This window comes from Homo sapiens, chromosome 19 (genome assembly GCF_000001405.40).
Source record: "Homo sapiens chromosome 19, GRCh38.p14 Primary Assembly".
In the NCBI taxonomy this organism is placed as follows: Eukaryota; Metazoa; Chordata; class Mammalia; order Primates; family Hominidae; genus Homo; species Homo sapiens.
In genome coordinates, this window is record NC_000019.10 from 40,143,544 (window position 1) to 40,156,783 (window position 13,240).

General features: G+C 47.5%; 3 annotated features.

Moving 5' to 3' along the window:
- Positions 960 to 1,109: an enhancer, noted in NCBI's record as "active region_14639". NCBI's record gives its function as "activates an Ori minimal core promoter by ATAC-STARR-seq in GM12878 lymphoblastoid cells {active_cell/tissue: GM12878}" and the evidence as "EXISTENCE:reporter gene assay evidence [ECO:0000049][PMID:35858748]".
- Positions 1,730 to 1,779: an enhancer, noted in NCBI's record as "active region_14640". NCBI's record gives its function as "activates an Ori minimal core promoter by ATAC-STARR-seq in GM12878 lymphoblastoid cells {active_cell/tissue: GM12878}" and the evidence as "EXISTENCE:reporter gene assay evidence [ECO:0000049][PMID:35858748]".
- Positions 4,159 to 4,453: an enhancer, noted in NCBI's record as "tiled region #5792; K562 Activating DNase matched - State 20:ReprD". NCBI's record gives its function as "activates a minimal TATA promoter and a strong SV40 promoter by Sharpr-MPRA in K562 cells {active_cell/tissue: K562}" and the evidence as "EXISTENCE:reporter gene assay evidence [ECO:0000049][PMID:27701403]".

Consider the following 13,240-nt stretch of genomic DNA (forward strand, 5'->3'; position numbering starts at 1 on the left):
TGGTCAACATGGCGAAACCCCATCTCTACTAAAAATACAAAAAAATTACCTGAGTGTGGTGGTGCACATCTGTAATCTCGCTACTGGTGAGGCTGAGGCATGAGAATCACTTGAACCTGGGAAGTGGAGGTAGCAGTGAGCCGAGCTCATGCCACCTCACTCCAGCCTGGATGACAGAGTGAGACTCTATCTTAAAAAAAAAAAAAAAAAAAAGTCAGGCTGAGGGTTAATTTTGGTAGAGAGAAGGGAGGGGCTGGGCCTGGGCGCCTGGGCTAGGGCACGTGGAGAGGCTTATGAACAGCTGGCAAATTCTATTTCTTGACTTACATGTGGTTACAAGTGGCTTGCCTTAAAATAACACAATTTGTGTGTTTCGCTGAATTTCAGGAACTCCTATTTTAAGAACTTCCTGGGGTTTTTTTTTTTTTTTTAACAAAGAAATGTAGTACTTTGTTTTTTAAAAGGAAGATTTTTATTATATGAATCAATACCTAATAAATTAGAAGCAAAGCCTCTTGCAGAGAAAAAGATCCACCAATAAGGAGATCTGCGTTTCTTCAGGGGAAAAAAAAAATCATCTCCATCACAGAATTGAAAACAAAGGAATAATCGTACAGATTTGGGAAGCTGGGGACTTTGCCTTTGTTTTCCTTATTTTAAATTAGGAATGCTGGCTGATGAAATCAGAGCACCCTGTGAAAAGAACTGTACCAGACATCTTGATCAGCACCATTTTGGGCCTCTGCAATGTCAAATAAATTTGAATATATTTTTGCTTTTACAACGTTATGCTAGCTGTGAAACCACTTGAAATGCAGCATTTCCTGACAATGACAAAGCTCCTCCACGGGAAACTCTCTTTCTTTCTAATGTGTTAAGAAATAGACTTACATCAAAAAGAAAAGCATTCTCTATGAAACACAAACGCTTTGGAAGTGTCTAAAGGTGCCACAAAGGTTGCAATTCTCTCTCCACTTGCAAGAATTTTTTTTTTTTTTTCCCGAGATGGAGTCTTGCTCTGTCACCCAGGCTAGAGTGCAGTGGCTTGATCTCGGCTCACTACAACCTCCACCTCCCAGGTTCAAGCAATTATCCAGCCTCATCCTCCCAAGTAGATGGGATTACAGGCACATGCCACCATGCCCGGCTAATTTTTATTTTTAGTAGAGACGGGGTTTCACCATGTTTGCCAGGCTGGTCTCAAACTCCTGACCTAGTTGATCCACCCACCTCAGCCTCCCAAAGTGCTGGGATTACAGGCGTGAGCCACCAAGCCTGGCCTTTTTTTTTTTTTTTTTTTTTTTTTTTAAAGACAGGGTCTCACTCTGTTGGCCAGGCTGAAGTGCAGTGGTGTGATCTCGGCTCACTGCAACCTTGAACTCCTGGGCTCAAGTGATCCTCCTGCCTTGGCCTCCCAAGGTGCTGGGATTACAGGTACCAGGTGAGCCTTCACACCCGGCTCACTTACAAGATTATAGTGAGATCAAACGTGGAGAACTTCTGATCCAGATTCAAATGGTCTAGATTTATATTCTGGCTCCCTCACTTACTAGCTGCGTGACCTTAATCAAATCACTTAACCTCTCTGATTCTGTGACCACACACATAAAACTGAGATATGACAATGCCTACCTCCTAGAGGTTGTCATGAGAATAAACTGTTTTAACAGAAGTAAGACACTTAGGACAGGGCAAAGCTATCTTGAGCCTTACTAGGCCAAGGGACCAGAGAAGCTCAGATCCAAGCACTCCATACTGAGTGGCCATGCTGCAAAACTCCCACAAACCCCAAATCAACACAGATTGGCTGGGCAAGGTGGCTCGCACCTATAATCCCAGCACTTTGGGAGGCTGAGGTGGGTGGATCACTTGAGCCCAGGGATTTGAGACGAAAGAAAGAATGAGAGAGAGAGAGAGAAAGAGAGGAAGGAAGGAAGGAAGGAAGGAAGGAAGGAAGGAAGGAAGGAAGGAAGGAAGTTAGGAAGTTTATTCTCTTACTGTTCTGGAGGTCAGAAGCCAACAATCAGCTTCCCTGGGCAAGCAAACAAGAAAGAGAAAAGAAAGGAAATAACACAGATTTATTCTCTTACAGTTCTGGAGGTCAGAAGCCAGCAATCAGCTTCCCTGGGCTAAAGTCAAGTGGTTGGCAGGGCTGATTCTTTCTGGAGGCACTGAGGGAAGACCTTATGTCCTTGTCTTTTTAGCCACCCGTATCCCCTGGCTCGTGGCCCCCTCCTCCTTCTCCAAAAGTGGCCCTCGGCTGGGTGAGGTGGCTCATGCCTGTAATTCCAGCACTTAGGAAGACCAAGGCGGGTGGATCACCTGAGGTCAGGAGTTCAAGACCAGCCTAGCCAACATGACAAAACCCCATCTCCACTAAAAATATAAAAATTAGCCAGACGTAATGGTGAGCACCTGCAATCCCAGCTACTCAGGAGGTTGAGGCAGGAGAATTGCTTGAACCCAGGAGGCGGAGGTTGCAAAGAGCTGAGATCACACCACTGCACTTCGTCTCAAAAAACAAACAAACAAACAAACCCGCATCCCTCTAATGTTTGCTTCCATTGTCACATCGACATCCCTCTGACCAACTTCTCCTGTGTCCCTCTTGTAAGGATCTTTGTGATTCTATTCAGGACCCACCCAGGTAACCCAGGATCATTTCCCCAACTGAACAAACTTAATCACATCTGAGAGTCCATTTTGCCATATAAGGGAACGTTCACAGGTTCTAGGGATTAGGATGTATAAACCTTCTTAATTATTATTAATACTTAGCCAAGCCTTGTGGGGCAAGAGAAACTTTTTCTTTTCTTTTGTTTTTTGGTTTTGTTTTGTTGTTGTTGTTGTTGTTGTTTGTTGTTGTTGTTGTTTGAGATGAAGTCTCCCCCTGTCACCCAGGCTGGAGCTCAGTGGCACAATCTCAGCTCACTGCAACCTCCACCTCTGGGTTCAAGGGATTCTCATGCCTCAGACTCCCAAGTAGCTGGAATTATAGGAACCTGCCACCACACCCAGCTAATTTTTGTTTTTTAGTAGAGATGGGGTTTTACCATGTTGACTAGGCTGGTCTCAAACTCCTGACCTCAAGTCTGCCTCGGTCTCCCAAAATGCTGGGATTACAGGCATGAGCCACTGTGCCCAGCCATGTTTTTTTTGAGACTGAGTCTCACTCTGCTGCCCAGGGTGGAGTGCAGTGGTGCAATTTCAGCTCACTGCAAACTCCTCCTCCCGGATTCAAGCAATTCTCGTGCCTCAGCCTCCCAAGTAGCTGGGACTACAGGCACCCACCACCATGCCTGACTAATTTTTGTATTTTTAGTACAGATGGGGTTTTACCATGTTGGCCAGGCTGGTCTCGAAATCCTGACCTCAGGTGATCCGCCTGCCTCGGCCTCCCAAAGTGCTGGGCTTACAGGTGTGAGTCACCGTGCCCAAACTTTTTTGTTGTGTTTTGTTTTTGAGACAGGGTTTCCCTCTGTTGCCCAGGCTGGAGTGCAGTGGTGCGGTCACAGTTCACAGCAGCCTCAAACTCCCAAGCTCAAGTGATCCTCCCACTTCAGCCTCCCAAGTAGCTGAGACCATAGATGCGTGCCACCACACATGACTTATTTATTTATTTAGTAGAGACAGGATCTCACTATGTTGCCCAGGCTGCTCTTGAACTCCTGGACTCAAGTGATTCTCCCACCTCGACCTCCCAACTGCTGGCATTACAGGCATGAGACACTGCACCCAGCCAGGACATGGAAACTTTGGAGGCCACATTATTCAGCCTACCACAGTCTCAAAGTGTGGTCTGATTCCATTCTGTTGGCTGTTTTATTTCTTCAGGTCTCAGACCTTACGTGGACCTATGGGTGCTACTTAGGACGTAGGTCCAGCCAGAAGTCAGAGAAGGCTACTGGAACTGCCAGTTCAGGACCCTTGAGCTCCCCTGTTACATGCCTTTGTGCAAATTAGGAAAAGGCTGTCCTCCCTTCCTCTGGGTAGACACAGCTCCACACCAGGATGTGTGGCTGGTGAAAGGGCACAGGTTGCATTTCAGCCTCCACATGCCTCCTGGGTCAAACAAATTTGTGCAGTGCACAACCTATACAACCCCAGTTTAAGGCACAGGGCCCCCACCTCACCCTGATTTAAAAAAAAAAATTAGGGAAGCATGCCCAGTCTTATTCTTGTCTTTCTCGGTATAATTTAGATCTGCACAAACTTTCTATCATGACTCACACTTCCTGAAACCCTGGAGCCTCCCAGATGTGAAATCACTGAGAGCTGGCTCTTCAGAAACAGTGACTCCTTTAACAGGCGGGCTTGGAGGACGTCTCTTGTGGGTCTAGGTCTTATAAAACTGACTCCTGCAGGGCTGCCTGGGACTGGTGGGAAACCCTTGGTGACTAGGGTCAGGGCTTCGCAGAGCCCCAGCGCAGGGTGAGATTGGAAGAATTACACTTCCGCCCAGGCGCAGAGCCCTGGCACAGGGTAGGATTGGAAGAATTACACCTCCGCCCTTCGGCCAACGACCAACACCTTCGGAGTCTGCAGAGGTTTGGAGGAGTCCGAGGAGACTTCAAGGCAGAGCTGGCAAGGTCTGGGAGGGAGCGTGGGCTTGCTGCGTTCTCCCCGCGCCCCGATTCCTACCCTCCCGAAGGAGTAGCTGCTCTCTTGTGGGAAACCCATCCTTCAGCCCTTCCACGCATAGGGAGTGGGGTGGGAGGGAGAGCACAGCGCCCTGCTCTTTGTGAAGGCTGCCCCCACAGGGACGCTGGCAGGATCCACCCCATAAACAGTACAGTCTGGGATCAACGACACAGCTCTGTGGATCCTGGGATATCCCCCGTCATCTTTCATTCTCATTTTTCTTGGACATACTAAATTCGTCTCAATCGGAATGAAATTAACAATGATTTTTATTTTCCACTTGGGTGTTTTTTGTTTTTGTTTGGTGCGTAGTTTCCAAATGTTCAACAACTACCATGAATTACTTTTATAATCATAAGTCAATAATATTGTTATAAGGATGTTTCAGGGCTCTGAAATCCCAGCCGGTAACCCCAGCACTTTGGGAAGCCGAGGCAGAAGTCTGAGGGGCTTGAGACCAGGAGTTTGAGACCAGCCTGGGCAACATAGTGAGATCCCCTTCTCTACAAAAAAAAAAAAAATTGAAAATTAAAAAAATAGCCAGGTGTAGTGGCACGCTCCTGTAGTCCTAGGTACTCAGGAGGTGGTGGAGGTACAGGGTGCAGTGGCTCACACCTGTAATTCCAGCACTTTGGGAGGCCAAGGCAGGTTAATCATTTGAGGTCAGGAGTTCAAGACCAGCCTGGCCAACATGGTGAAACCCTGTCTCTACTAAAAATACAAAAAATTAGCCGGGCATGGTGGCAGGTGCCTGTAATCCCATCTAGTCAGGGGGCTAAAGCAGAATTGCTTGAACCTGGGAGGTGGAGGTTGCAGTGAGCCGAGATCACGTCACCACACTCTAGCCTGGACAACAGAGCAAGACTCTGTCTCAAAAAAAACAAAACTTGGCCGGGCGTGGTAGCACGCAGCTGTATCCCAGCTACTCGGGAAGCTGAGGCAGGAGAATCGCTTGAACCCAGGAGGTGGAGGTTGTAGTGAGCCGAGATCATGCCACTGCAGTCCAGCCTGGGCAACAGAGTAAAACAGTCTCAAACTAAAAGAGAAAAAAGAAAATTTTCAGAAAATAAAAACAATCCCTAATAGTAATCACATCCCGATAATACTGTGTGCCAAGATCTGACCCAGAACTGTCTGTGCACTTTTGTTGTTGTTGTTGTTGTTTGTTTTTATTTTTTCATACAGGGTCTCACTCTGTCATCCAGGCTACAGTGCAGTGGCGCAATTATGGCTCACTGCAGCCTCGACCTCCTGGGCTTAAGTGATCCTCCCACCTCAGCCTCCCAAATAGCTGGGACTACAGGGGCGCATCACCGCACCCAGCTAATTGTTGTAATTTTTGTAGAGACAGGGTCTCACCATGTTGCCCAGGCTGGTTTCCAACTCCTGGATTCAAGCAATCCACCTACTTTAGTCTCCCAAAGTATCAGAATTATAGGCGTGAGCCACCGTGAGTAGTTCTTTTTGTCAGAATGGCATTTTTCAGGATATGCTTAATTGGTTAGAAACTAAAATGTGGTACACCCACACAATGGGATATTAGTCAGCCACAAAAAGGAATGAAGTACTGATCCATACTACAACATGACTGAGCCACAAAGACATGCCAAGCAGAAGAAGAGGCAAAAGACCACACAATATATCATTCCATTTATATGAAATATCTGGAATAGGCCAATATACAGAGATGGAAACTACATTCGTGGTTACCTAGGACTGAACGACTTGGGGGATTAGGGAGTGACTGAATGGATACAGATACAGAATTTCTTGTTGGAGCCCAGACATGGTGGCTCACGCCTGTAATCCCAGCACTTTGGGAGGCCGAGGCAGGCAGATCACCTGAGTTCAGGAGTTCAAGACCAGCCTGGCTAACCTGGTGAAACTCTGTCTCTACCAAAAATACAAAAATTAGCCAGGTATGGTGGGGGGTGCCTGTAATCCCAGCTACTTGGGAGGCTGAGGCAGGAGAATCACTTGAACCCAGGAGGCAGAGGTTGCAGTGAGCCAAGATCATGCCACCACACTCCAACCTGGGCAACAGAGCCAGACTCCGTCTCAAAAAAAAAAAAAATTTCTTGTTGGAGTGATGAAAATGTTCTGGAATTGACTGTGGTAATGGTTGCACAACTCTGGAAATATGCCTGATATGGTTTGAATCTGTGTCCCCACCCAAATCTCGTGTCCAGTTGTAATACCCAGTGTTGGAGGAAGGGCCTGGTGGCAGACGATTGGATCGGGGGGTGGAGTTCTCATGAATGGGTTAGCACCATCCCCTCAGTCCTGTTCTCGTGATAGTGAGTTATTATTTTGAGATCTGCTTGTTTAAAAGTGTGTATGTGTAGCACCTCCCCCATCTCTCTTCCTCCTGCTCTGGCCATGTAAAGCGCTGGCAACCCCTTTGCCTTCTGCCGTGATTGTAAGTTTCCTGAGGCCTCCCCAGAAGCAGACGCTGCCATGCTTCCTGTTCAACCTGCGGAACTGTGAGCCAATTAAACCTCTTTACAAATTACCCAGTCTCAGGTATTTCTTTATAGCAATGCAAGAATGACCCAATTCAATGCTAAAACTAAGTAATCGTATCTTTTAAATTGGTGGATTTTATAATATGTGAATTCTATCTTATTAGAGCTGTTCCTAAAAATAAAACACGGTGGCTCACACCTGTAATCCCAGCACTTTGGGAGGCCGAGGCGGGCGGGTCACCTGAGGTCGGGAGTCGGAGACCAGCCTGACCTACATGGAGAAACCCCGTCTCTACGAAAAATACAAAATTAGCCGAGTGTGATGGTGCATGCCTGTAATCCCAGCTACTCGGGAGCCTGAGGCAGGAGAATCACTTGAACTCAGGAGGCAGAGGTTGTGGTGAGCTGAGATCATGACATCGCACTCCAGCCTGGGCAACAAGAGTGAAACTCCGTCTGAAAAAAATAAAATAAACTAAAATAAAAATAAATAAAGCAAAAAGCCTAGGGGCAGGAAGTCGAATTACCTTGACTTCTACTTACTGTCTGTTACGTCTAGCACATTGCCTCATGACCCAAGACAATTGCTTGAGCTCTAGACATCACATGTAAATTCCAGGCAATGAAAGCAAGGAAGGAAGAAGGGCATGGCATCTCCCTTGCAATGTGAATTACTGGAACTTGTGCAAACATTTCCATTTACGCGGTTTTAGTGCGGACACAGAAACAAAGCCACATCTAGCTGCAAAGGGGGCTTTTCAATCCCACCATTATAGGGAGTCATGCTTGAAGGGGGTTGGAAGGGTGTTGACCAAGCCAATCCCAAAGCGAAGTTATTAACCCCACTTTAAAGATGAGTAAACTGAGGCGCAGAGAGTGGAAGCTGCCTGCCCAAGGCCTCAGCTATTAGGTGGAAGGAAAGGAAAGGAGAGCCACTGTGCTCAAAGATTCCGGCTCAGATCAGGAAATTCATCAAAGATGAGCCATCCCACTCACACCGAGACCATACTAGAATTAGTGTGACCAGTTCTGGATATGTGTCCCTTAATAGAGCCAGTGAGGACGTGGTCAGAACAGAGATGAGGCTGAGGTTTATGAAAGGCAAACACATTCAATGGTTAACCCAGGCCTGAATCAGGCTGCCTGGATGGACAGGTTGTTTGTTTTTTGTTTTTTGGGACAAAGTCTTGCTCTGTTGCCCAGGCTGGAGTGCAGTGGCTCGATCTCGGCTCACGACAACCTCCACCTCCCAGGTTCAAGTGGTTCTCCTGCCTCAGTCTCCTGAGCAGCTGGGACTACAGGCACGTGCCACCATGCCCGGCTAATTTTTGTATTTTTAGTACAGACGGAGTTTCACCATGTTAGCCAGGCTGGTCTCGAACCCCTGACCTTGTGATCTGCCCACCTTGGCCTCCCAAAGTGCTGGAATTACAGGTGTGAGCCACCACGCCTGGCTGATGGACAGTTTTTATAAGCTGTTATCAGGAAGGAATGCTTTTGGCTGCAATAACAAAAAAAAATTTTTTTTAACCTGATGAACACTAGCTGAAACCTATAAGAAATTAATTTTATGCCTATTTTTCAAGGTCCAGAGGAAGGCTGCCTGGAACCATTTTTCTGGCTCAGGTGAGCCTAAAAACCAAGTCCTTATGGAAGGCTCACTCAAGGCCAGGAGTTCAAGACCAGCCTGGGCAACACAGCAAAACCCCATCTCTAAAAAATAAAAAACAAAATTAGCCGGCGTGGCGACATGCATCTGTTGTCCCACCTACTTGGGAGGCTGAGGCAAGAGGATCTCTTGGGCCCAGGAGGTCAAGGCTGCAGTGAACTATGATTGCACCACTGCACTCCAACCTGGGCAACAGAGTGACACCATGTCTCTGAAAAATAAAAATAAAAAAATACATTTTTTTTAAAACCCAGGCCTCTAGGAATCAGAGGTTTTCTGTGGGTCCCTAAAGAATGTCCATTTAACTTTATTAATACTTCCTTAGAGAATCAGCTCCAAAGACAGCTAAACATAACACAAGCGGTTAGGGCTTCAATGTAGAAACTTTGGAGGGCACAAAACATAATAGGGGTGCACATTGGGGTGACAACCAGAAGGAACTGGGAAATGTGATTGCTATGAAAGACAGCACAGGCTGAGAGTGGTGGCTCACTCCTGTAATCCCAGCACTTTGGAGGCCAAGGTGGACAGATCACGAGGTCAGGAGTTCAAGACCAACCTGGCCAACATGGTGAAACCCCGCTCTACTAAAAATACAAAAATTAGCCAGGCCTGGTGGCACGTACCTGTAGTCCCAGCAACTCAGGAGGCTGAGGCAAAAGAATTGCTTGAATCCGGGAGGCAGAGGTTGCAGTGAGCCGAGATCACGCCACTGTCACCCAGCCTAGGTGACAGAGCAAGATTCCGTCAAAAAAAAAAAAAAGACAGCACAGTGGCTACCCAGGGGAGCAGGGAGAGGACTGCAATGGGGAACACGGCGGGGTTCCTGGGGTGCCCAGCAATGTTCTGTTCTTGAAGCAAGTGGAAGTTAAAAGGCTGTTGTCTTATCTCATTAAGGTAGACTTTCGTTTGGTGTAGCTGGCTTCCTTCCTTCCTTTTTTCTTTCTTTTTCTGGAGACAGGATCTCACTCTGTTCCACAGGCTGGAGTGCAGTGGCACTGTCATAGCTCACTGCAACCTCAACTGCCTCTGCTCAAGTGATCTTCCCACCTCAGCCTCCCAAGTAGCTGAGACTATAGGCACATACCTCCACACCCAACAATTTGGTGTCATTTTCTGTATATATGTTTTATTTTACAACCATAGGCTGATAAAATAGGCTCCCAGGCCCAGCGCAGCGGCTCACTCCTATAATCCCAGCACTTTGGGAGGCCAAGGTGGGAGGATCACTTGAGCCCAGGAGTTCGATGCTGAACTCAGCTATAACCATGCCACTGCATTCCAGCCTGGGTGATAGAGTGAGACTCTGTCTTTTTTAACAACAAAAATAAAAAATAAAATAAAAATAAAAATAAGATGTGCTCCTCTGCTCCTGCTTCATCATCCAACCCTGTGTCTTTCTTCCTCCTCGTTGCAAAATAACTCCTGCATCTCCAGGTTGCACATCCACGTCTCCGGCAGGAAGTGAAGGGCAAACATCTAGAAACATCTAGAGTCTTCTCCACATAAAGTTTTGCCTTACCATTTAGAAAGAAAACCCTCTTCAGGCCCACAACAACCTCTGCCTCCCAGGTTCAAGTGATTCTTCTGCCTCAGCCTCCAGAGTAGCTGGGATTACAGGCGCCTGCCACCAGGCCTGGCTAATTTTTGTATTTTTAGTAGAGACGGGGTTTCGCCAGGTTGGCCGCAGTAGTCTCGAACTCCTGACCTTGTGATCCACCTGCCTCGGCCTCCCAAAGTGCTGGGATTACAAGTGTGAGCCACTGCACCCAGCCAAATTAATTGATTCTTTAAACCCTGACATCTTAGAGCACCGATCCCCAACCTTTTTGGCACCAGGGACCAGTTTTGTGGATGACAATTTTTCCATGGGTAGGGTGGGTGAGGTGGGAATGGGGGGATGGTTTTGGGATGATTCAATGACATTACATTTATCAATAGCTTCTCATAAGGAGCGAGCAACCTAGGTCCCTTGCCTGCACCGTTCACAGTACGGTTCACGCTCCTATGAGAATCTAATGCCACCGCTGATCTGACAGGAGGCGGAGCTCAGCTTCCCTGGCTCACCTGCTGCTCACTCCTGCCGTGCAGCCCAGTTCCTAACAGGCCATGGACCCATATCAGTCCATAGCCTGGGGGTTGGGAATCCCTGTCTTAGACTACTAAGTCCCATTTTCCTGAATTCTTGTGGCATCAATTTTTCATCAGCCAAGCATCTAACCCTCCAGCCACAGCCCTTGAACAAGCTTGCCTCTGGTACTTCAGCTCGACTAATCTTCTGCAAAATCAGTGGTAACTGGGCCCTGCCCCTCCACCGTGGATATGGAGAACGGATGCCCTGCATCTACTCCCAAGGCCTGCCTACTGTGCCCTGGAGTACTGTAGAAGCTGGAAAGCTATTTTTAAAATAGTAACTTCACCACTCTCACCCAAATAATCAATACTTAATTGCCAAATGGTTTTCAGTGCTTACCCTCCTGTCTTAAAATATCACGTAGACCAGGCGCGGTCCCAGCACTTTGGGAGGCTAAGGTGGGCAGATCACAAGGTCAGGAGATCGAGACCATCCTGGCTAACATGGTGAAACCCTGTCTCTACTAAAAAATACAAAAAAAAAAAAAAATAGCCGGGCGTGGCAGCACACACCTGTAGTCCCAGCTACTCGGGAGGCTGAGGCAGGAGAATGAAGTGAACCCGGCAGGCAGAGCTTGCAGTGAGCTGAGATCGTGCCACTGCACTCCAGCCTGGGCAACAGAGCATGACTCAGTTTCAAAAAAAAAAAAAAAAAAAAAGATGTAATACTAATAGAAAATTTGAGGCTGGGCATAGTGGTTCCTGTCTGTAATCCCACCATTTTGGGAGGCTGAGGCAGAAGGATTGCTTGAGCCCAGGAGTTCAAGACCAGTCTGGGTAACACAGTGAATCCACATCTCTACAAAACATACAAAAATTAGCCAGGCATGTTGGTGCATGCCTGTAGTCCCAGCTACTCAGGAGGCTAAGGTGGAAGGATCTCTTGAGCCCATGCAGTGGAGACCACAGTGAGCCGAGATTGTACCACTGCACTTCAACCTGGGTGACAGAGCTAGACATTGTCTCTAAAGGAAAAAAAAGAGAGGCCAGGCGCAGTGGCTCATGCCCATAATCCCAGCACTTTGGGAGGCAAAGGCAGGTGGATCACCTGAGGTCAGGAGTTCAAGACCAGCCTGGCCAACATGGTAAAACCCCGTCTGTACTAAAAATACAAAAATTAGCTGGATGTGGTGGTGGGTGCCTGTAATCCCAGCTACTCAGGAAGCTGAGGCAGGAGAATTGCTTGAACCTGGGAGGCAGAGGTTGTAGTGAGCCAAGATCGTGCCATTGCACTCCAGCCTGGGCAACAAGAGCAAAACTCCGTCTCGAAAAGAAAAAAAAGAAAATGAAAGAAATTTTGAGGTAACAGATGAGGAGATGATTGCTATGGAAAAGACAGTTTGTTACTCACAGTTCCCAAGAGGAAGGGGCATATGATTCCATGGGGGACCACACGAGGGAGCCCAAGTCAGTTAGGAGAAGAGACAGAGGAGGAAACTGGGCACGAACTTTTACCGTGGTTGCCACAGGAAGGAATTGCTGATGCTGCTTCTGAAGTGAAGTGTTGCTGGGGTAACACTCACGAAAAAAGCAGGCAGACAGGAAGCAAAAGTCCCTTCTCCTGGAGGTGACCAGCCCCCGTGGAAGGGGTTCCGGGATGCAGAACTTTCAGTGCTAAAAATGGGAAAGATCTGGGGAAAGTGGGACGAGTTGATTACCCTACTTCTGCAGTCTCCTAGCAAACTGTCTTGCCAGAGCCTAACATAGAACCATCTGGCAAAGCAGAAATGTGGCTTGCTTGTCCCAGCATCACAAAGCAGGGCACAGGATGGTGCGTTTGGAGCTCAGAGACAGTAACTCTGTAATTGATACTTTTTTTTTTTTTTTTTAAACAGAGTCTCACTCTGTCGCCCAGGCTGGAGTGCAGTGGTGCGATCTTGGCTCACTGCAACCTCTGCCTCCTGGGTCCAAGCGATTCTCCCAGCCTCCCGAGTAACTGGGGCCACAGGCAAGCACCACCACGCCTGACTAATTTTGTATTTTTAGTAGAGACGGGGTTTCACCATGTTGGCCAGGCTGGTCTCGAACTCCTGACCTCAGGTGATCCACCTCCCTCAGCCCCCCAAAGTGCTGGAATTACAGGCATGAGCCACCTGGCCCAGCCTGATACTGACTGTTTATGATCTTCCTGGTCCTCTCCAATCCGTCCTCTGGGCTGCCATTGAGAGGAGCTTTATAAGTAGATAAAATTGATCATTTCAGACTCTTGCCAAAAGTTTTCCATAGTTACCTACCAGCCAACCAGGGTGAAATTTCAACTTTTTAATGAGGTATAAAATGTTCCTCAAAGTTATCCTCAGTTACAGCCCAGTTTTATCTCCTCTCCTGAACT